The sequence below is a fragment of the Homo sapiens genome, chromosome 9 (genome assembly GCF_000001405.40).
Source record: "Homo sapiens chromosome 9, GRCh38.p14 Primary Assembly".
NCBI classification, from domain to species: Eukaryota; Metazoa; Chordata; class Mammalia; order Primates; family Hominidae; genus Homo; species Homo sapiens.
In genome coordinates this window covers 14063084-14071652 of record NC_000009.12, presented here as the reverse complement: position 1 = coordinate 14071652, position 8569 = coordinate 14063084, and the positions used below count along the sequence as shown (strand labels likewise).

The 8569-nt window shown below is 41.3% G+C and overlaps 1 pseudogene; it reads right to left on the bottom strand.

The window, feature by feature from the left end:
* On the bottom strand, window positions 2173–2775 carry ATP5PDP3 (ATP synthase peripheral stalk subunit d pseudogene 3; annotated as a pseudogene).

Below are 8569 nucleotides of genomic sequence, written 5' to 3'. Positions count from 1 at the left end.
CATATGGGTTTTATTCACCCGAGGAGGCCAGAGGCACAGTGGTCCGAGGCTCTTGGATAATGAGCAAAATTAGCTACTCTCTGCTGATGTTGGGGACTCTCTTTCTGAGGGGTTCCCAGCTTCTCTGGTGACCCCCACTTCCACAGGCCGCCATTTTCTTTCTATGCCAGTGATTCTCAATACTGGCTTCGCATTAGAATCTCATAAAGGAGTGGGCCTGGCTAATGGTAACAGCTCCCCAGGTGAATCAAATGTGCAGAGTTGAGAATCACTGTTTGAGACCCAGCCTGAGCTTTTTGGAGCTTCTCCTGCAGAGGCAAACTTAGGTTTTTGGTTGTGCTGTTCTCCCCCGGATGGATCCCAAATGATTACTGAAGCTTAATGTAAGTATTTATGTTGCTTAACTTGTGGCATCCTTTAAAACCACGTATTGATTTACTTTTAAAGGTAGACACTCCTTATTCCAACAAGCACAGCCTAATATGGTATGGTCATATTGCTCAGGTAGTATATTTCTTGCTTCCAATTTAAGAAAAAGGAAGAAGAAAGTCATTAAGTTCTTTTCTGGAAAAACAGCAGAGAATAATCTAGAGTATTAAATATATCTTGATGAGGGGAAGTTGAGGAAACCTTCCTAGATGACTCTTCTATTTCTCTGAACTGGTCAGTTAGCCCCGACACAAAGCCTTACACATGATTGTCTCCCGTGAGGCCTCCATTGTCTAAGCTGCTCTTTGTGAAAAAGCAGATGCTCTCCAATCCACACACCTGTGACCAGAAGCCTGAACACTAATGGTTGACCAAGTTCCTACTCTCGTTGCAAAGATGAAGCTGTGACATCCCCCAATTTTTGGGAAGCTCTATTTTACTCTGAAGAACTAATGTGAAAGTTACTGTAGGCACAATAAGTATAAAGAAAAACTGAACTCGATAACACTGTTGATAGCTTGATAACACTGTTGAAGCTTACCTGGAAGGATTGGGTCATCCATTAGTGTAAAATACTGAATTTCTATCACATGGAAGACTGATGTAACTTAGGCTCAAGGAAACACAAGTTGGACTAAGGGTTAGAAGTTACAGTAAGACACATTTCCACCGAGTATTCAGGAGACCCTTTTGCTGGCTGAAGTTGGAATGAATGAGATCACACCATAGCATCTGTTCAGCAATCAGTGCTCGAAGGTCAGAATGGTGAGTGCCAAAAGGGGAGCACCTGGATTACTGGTTATACCCGAGACATTCACCTGGCCAATCAAAAGTTAGTTTGATTGAGTGTTCTACGTGTATGCTTATTTCCAAACATCATCACATTGGGCGTGCATGGTGGCTTACACCTGTAACCTCAGCACTTTGGGAGGCTAAGGAGGGCAGATCACTTGATCCCAGGGGTTCGAGACCAGCCTGGCCAACATAGCAAAACTCTCTCTCTACTAAAAATACAAAAATTAGTCGGGCATGGTGGCACATGCCTGTAATCCCAGCTACTTGGGAGGCTGAGGCATGAGAATCGATTGAACCCAGGAGGCAGAGGTTGCAGTGAGCTGAGATCACGCCATTGCACTCCATCCTGGGCAACAGAGCAAGACTCTGTTTAAAAAAAAATCATATTGTACTCAATAAATATATATAATTTTTATATATTACAAAAATTTATTCAAGCATTCTATCTTCATGGTTCAATATATATCAGAAACTTGCAAAGTTTTAGAGATTCATATATGAATAAATTATGGTACTTAGCTCACAGACACACTTAAGCGAAAGAAGTAGCAATACAGTATCAAATAGAGACCTAAAAAAAGTGAAAAGGGGAAAGGGCAATACATTCTCTTGGGGCAATTCAGTTTGGGCAATGCGGAGGTAAAGTAGGGCATCAGGCCTGAAGGAAGCTTCTAGAAGGAGTTGGCATTTGAGCTAGGCCTTTAAGAACAGATAATATTTTGCCATGTGGGGACAAGGAAGGGCATTTTAGTTGGTGGTAAAAAGTGATGCACAGCATTGGAGTGTGGAAGCGTCCTTATGTTCAGAGAAGAATGTGTTGTGTGTTGACTTCTCTAGTAAACACAAGAGGTACATGAAGGCAGTCGGGGGAGGGGGAAGATATCTAGCAAGCTTTAAACTCCAACCAAGGTATATAAATGCATCTTATTGGATTTTTTCTACATAAGTATTTTTATTTTTAATGTCCAGAATGTGTAATATAAGGGCCAGAACTTCCTCCTGGACTCAACTTTATAAATTCTCGATTGGTTGGTGAGGCCAATAGGGATACTTTCTCTTGTCTCATTTGGTTTCTGGGAAAGCTTCATTCAGGTCCTCAGTGGTCGTCTGATCAAATGGAATTAAGTTCCTCATCTTCTCCAGCTGTTTCTCATATTGTCCAATCCTGGCCTTTGAGAGAGACATCCACTCAGCACAAGTTTTCACATCTTCTTTTTCTTCAGCATCCACTTGGGCAGTGTATTTATCCTCTGGTACAGGAAACTTCAGGGCATTAAACTTCTTCTCAAAGTCATCCACCAAGCCTGCCTTGGCCACACTGGCCTTGTAGTAAGTCCAGTCAATAGATGGTTTATTCTCAGGTAAAATAGCCAGTCTGGAGGTAAGAATCTCATTCCAGGATGTCAGGGAATTAGCAATGGCCTTTTGGTTTCGGGATATGCTCTCCCAAGAAGTTACCCAGTCAATGATTTTTAGAGCAAGTTTTTGCCCAGCCATCTTGGGATCCTTCACCGACCCCAGCGGCCCATAGTCCACAGCAGCACCTAGCGGCTCTTACTGGATTTTTTAGGGCAGCTGTGGCTATGTATTAAAATTTGGACTTTATGCTTCAGGAATGGGGAACAATCACAGGTTTTGGAGAGTAGAGGAAGCCATAATCTAGAAAAATAATGGAATTGCTTGGTATAGGGCACCACCAAAGCTTAACTGTCTCTGTGATAGTGATTTCTCCCTCTGCACTTTTCCCCATAGTGAATTTCCCCAGGCCCATTGTTTTCCAACTTAGAGTCTTTAGATTCCTTGCAGATTCATGAAGATGGAAATAAGGGATTCATGAAGTATTTTCAACATTGCAATAAGCTGAAATAAATTATGCACTTGACTATCACTATCACAGAGATAGTTAAGCTTTGGTGGTGCCCTCTATGAAGCAATTCCATTATTTTTCTAGATTATGGCTTCCTCTACTTTCCCTGTGCTTATTCCCCATTCCTGAAGCACAAAGTTCAAATTTTAATATATGGCCACAACTGCCCTAAAAAACCCCAATAAGATGCATGTATTTACTTTGGTTGGAGTTTAAAGCTTTGCAGGCTGTCTTCCAACCCACTGTTCGCATATACCTCATGCATCCACTGGAGAAGTCAACACACAACACATGTTCTTCTCAGAACACAAGGACGTTTCCACACTCCAATGCTGTGCATCACTTTTTACCACCACTTAAAAGGTTAGCACCAACCTTTTCATCGAAGCAAAAGGACCCTTTCTTTAGTTACAACTCTTCAGTAAGGGCCCCTAGCCACTAACTTTGGGAAGGTCTTCCTCTTAGAGAGCTTACATGGTATAGGATTTATTGGTATGGGCTTTAGAGGCAGACAGGCTTGAGTTTGAATATTGGCTGCCACTTATGAGCTATATGATGTTGGACAACTTATTTAATCTCTGTAAGCCTCACTTTCTGTGGTTAACTCACAGGATATATTGTATATCTGTTGTGTCTGTCAGTATAGTCTTAACTCATAGAATATATTGTATATCTGTCAATTACACACTTTATAATCTGTCTTATTATGTAAGTATAGAGTGTTGCCTGCCTATAGAAATTAAAAATGCCGCTAGGTAAATCACAATCTTTTATGTGTCCATCAGCATCATTGGCCACTATTGGTCCTTCCTATTTGGGGTCTCCACTGAAGGTCTTTGAGGCAGGCTGCTTCTGGCATTTAGATGACCACACTCTTGGCTCTCCAGTTTGCTGCTGTGTCTGCTGATAACTGTATCTGAGTGCCTCTGAGCTCCCCAGTGATCTTCCCAGTGCCTTGCTGAGCAGATATCCTGAGGGTGGCTGCTTGCCTCCGTCTTGCAGAGGCCAGAGGGAAACATTCGCAATGCCATTTTCTACCCAGCTCATTAGTCAACTTCAGGACTTCAAAAGGCATGCTCTGTTTGACTCTGCTGTTCTCTATACCTGACACGTATACAAATGTGTTCAATGCACACTTCCTATGCTTCGTCATGGCTTTGGAAGCCCTACTTGAGACTCAGTGGTTTTATGCTTTTTAGTCTACATTGCCTAAGAGAACTGATACAGAGGCTAAGCAAAGGGGTGGTAAATATGGATGTCATTTAATACTACAGTCATATGGCAAGTCTGAAAATGGTCTTGTCAAAGTTAGTGGTGTGGCCTAAATGGCCACATAAGTCTGTCTTGAAAACGATTTGAATTTTCTCTTTCTTTTATTCAGTTGAGTCCTAGGAATATAGACACATGGACAACACGTATCCAGCACTGTTCATTGTATGGTGCTGGGTAAACATACAATGATTCTCTTTGGATAGCTGCCCATGTACTTTACTGTTCATGTGCACTTTCCAACATTTCAGTGCTGGAAAAACATAAAAAAGTCAGGAAGTCTCACCTGAACAAGCTTTCTTGGGCAGATTTTTGGCAGGTAATGCTTCCTGTTACATAGGAAATGCTTTTAAGCTTAGCTTCATTTATAGTACTTCGGTTTGCCTACGAAGCTATGAATTCTGTTTGGTTGCTAGTAACAAATCTTAGAAAGCAAAACAAACAACAGCCACAATGACAAAATGGTGGCTTGAAGACATTAGGGGTTTATTTTTGTCTCATGTAAAACACATTTGGAGATGGGCACTCAGGCTGAGGCCGTGAAAGACTTAAGGCCTTTCTAGCTTTGTGCTCCTCCATTTGTACAACTTTTTTTTTTTTTTCGTGACAGGGTCTTGCGCTGTTGTTCAAGCTGGAGTGCAGTGGCACAATCAGATCTCCCTGGCTCAAGTTCAAGTGACCCTCCCACCTCAGCCTCCCAAGTAGCTGGGACTACAGGCTTGTGCCACCATACCCCACTAATTTTTGCCTTTCTTTTAGAGACAGGGTTTCATCATGTTGCCTAGGCTGGTCTTGAACTCCTGGGTTCAAGTGATCCACCTGCCTTGTCCTCCCAAAGTGCTGGGATTACAGGTGTGAGCCACCACGCCCAGCCCTAGGGCATAACTCCTATCCTCCTGCTCTCAAGGTGACTGCTGGTATGCCAGCAATCATGTCCATGTTCACACAGGAAAAACTGGGTGAGTAAAAGGCAAAAATAAATGTGCCAATTTTTGTTTTAAGAGATATTTCGGGAGTCCTTCTCTCATTTATACTCCTATCACATTACTCATAATACGGTCACGTGACATCCCCCAACTGCAAGGGAGGTTGGATACATATTTGGATAAGCCCATTTCCTCCTTTAGTAAAACTGATGTTTGTTCACAAGGAGAGAATGGCCATTGGGTAAGCAAGTAGCAGCCCCTGGCACATCTACCTTTAATCCTAGCTAGACATTTTACTTATCTTGGTTAAAAAGTCTTAAGGGGAACCTTAAGACTTAACCTTCTAACCATAAGCAGATTTGAAATACTTTTCTAATAATGAAGAGCTAATTAATTATTTCCAAATCTACAACACTATATTTGAGAAGACTTCCCTTATTTGGTTTTCACTATCTCCTAAGCACTTGGAATCTTAAACCTATGGGGTCTCTTGTATTAATTTGTTCTCTTGTACATGTTCAGTGAAAGCTTCGTGATGTTTTGATCTTATTTTAGGCAAGAAGGACATTTGGATGGAAGATAACATGGAAACTCTAGGCTCCAAGCACCATGCGTACAATTGTTTTATTGCTTTCTTATAATGGTTGCAATGAGTTAGGTAGTAGGAAGGAAACAAATAATACAACCTGTGACAAAAACTCCAGGGTGGTATAGTGCAGGGTTTTTCAATTCTCTTTAGTGGTAAAATTGTGTCTTCAAATGAAATTATACTGAGGACATTTAACTATACAAAAGAGATAAAAAGCTGACTTTCTCTAGTTGAAGTAAGACTGGAGGGACCCCGCCACTCTTTTCACCCACTCCCTATCTCCTTCATGATCCTTGGGGTGCAAGACCACAGAGAGAAAATCTGAAAATCATCATTTCATTAGGTATTTGTCTTAGCTCTGCCATTAGCTGGCTTTGTGACCGTGGACAAATTACTTGCCTTCTCTGGCCCCCAGGTTTGTGATGTAAAATACAGAAGGGTTGAGTCAGTTGATCCTGAAAAGTCCATCTAGCCCATGTTTCTAGGATTTTCCTGGCTACCAGTGTGTATATAGTCAGCTTCTAGTGATGAGTGTTATCTGTGCTTTTCTCATCAAATTGGCTGGAGGCAAAAGAAAAAAAATCCATCCATTAGTATTGACTAGCAAGAAAAATGGGAAATAAGGATGCTTTTCTCTTAAATATTTTCCTGCTCATAGGAAAAAAAAAAAAAAACTGAAGGAAAGTTGGAGTGAAATTCAAATCCCACTGCAGCATTTATCACAATGATCTAGATCTATAGAAAGAAGCCAAGGCTAGTGAAAACCGTCGATTTCAGAACATCTATTATGTGCAAAATACAATAATAGTTCTTTCATATTTTATTTTATTTCATTTAAATTACACAAGACTAATCAGAGGTGATACTATTTCTTTTATTATACAGGAACCTGGACCAGATTTATTCTGGATTAGAACTTATATCTTCTTTCATTAATGTTTCCATTGAATGAGTTGCACCTGGGCCTAGCTACTATTCTAAGCTCAGAATCCCAAACCTAATAAGGCTGCGGGTCTGTCCTAAGGAGCTTTAGTAACTTCTGCCCTTTAAGTCCAGTGTGTTTTCCTTGATACTGTAGATCTCAATCTTTGTCTCAACTTTTGTTATACGTTGAAATTAATGGGGGGGTTGATTAAAATTCCAGTGTTTCTGTCCCCCTCCCACTCTACACTACTTCATTTCGGCAGGATCTGGAGTGGATTCCAGGCATCTGCAGTTTAAACTCACCGCTCATAGCTCTGTCACCTGGCAAAGTTAGGAAACTACAGCTTTATCCTGATCAGGGTTATTGATGTGAACTTCTGCCTTCATAGCCAGATGGTGGGCCCTCATTGGTTGAGCACTGGGCCTCTTTTATTTTTTGTATACTTGGCGTATTGTAGGCACTTTCAAAAATTTTGCAGACTAGAAGAAAAAGAAGAGGAGGAGGAGGAGAGAAGAAAACTTGTATAGCACTGAATTCACCCACACCACTGAAAAATAGACTCTGTAACAGGACACACAAAAAGAGAGGGGTTATGGGCATTTCAGGGTTTTGATGAGATGGCCAAGACGCAGCTCCTGTCTCCTCCCACCCCCATTCATTCTTCTTATGCTGATTTATTTTGTCTAAGAATTTAACACCTGCTTGTTCTGTCCTGCTCACCAAATCCACTACTACTAGTATAAGCTGCTCTAGAGCCAGAATCTGGTCTACTGTTGACTTTTGTACTCCCAGTACATACAACAGTCTGGCACATAATGAAGGGAACGAAAAAAGAATTATGTGATGGCCTGAACCACAGCAGGAAGGAGTGAGATTGGAAGGGATACAGGCTAGTCTTGAGTATTGCAGGACTCATGAGGCAAAATGCTAAGTTACTCCAACACTTAATTAGCTATTTTTATTAAGTGTCCAAGCCTCCTTCATTTAATGGGTGTTTTACTGCTTTTATCTCAAGAAAGATGGCAGAAGTTTGTGTCTTTTGGCTTTGATCACATTATTTCTGGGTTTTGTTACTTAATAAGGCAGAAGTTTAAATTAACATCATTCTCCATTGCCTGTTTTTGGGTTAGCTGTACAGTATAGAGTGCTGGCAATTTTTCAATGGAGGAAAGAAAAGGAAACCTCTGTTTGGGAGCTTTAGGGGGAAAGGAGGGAAAGCCATTTACCTGAGCCCCTGGGGCTACATCTGCTTCTCAGAAAAGATCTGCCATCAAATCAAGCCACCGGACCCCTGTAGGGGCTACAGCTCAGGGACAGGTTGAAGGAGGACTGGGCCAGCTATAGCCTTCAATTGTCAAGGCGGCAAAGAAGGTTGGAAGGTGAATTCACAGTCATTTCTGTGTTCAGGGGTACACTTTAATAGCTGAGGTAAAAAAGTGTTGTCAGAATGAACAAAAGCCACCTCTGCAAGTCCCCTCTTAAAACGTGAAATTGCCTGGGCTATGATCTGAGGTTTATGCCAACTGAATGTGCATTTATTTCTTTTTTCCCTCTTCAATCACTCACTGCAGGGTTAGCTTGATGGTTTACAGAACATGGTAACACTTGCTGCACTTTGGATCACTTCAGCCAAAGGTTTGTTGCTGTATTAATTGGCTTCAGAGAAAACATTGCCTTCACTTAAACGGTTTGAATACCTCTTGTTGAATCATAGGCCTGAGTCAAGTGTTATTAATTCAAGAATCTTTTGTCCATATCAGATAAACGTT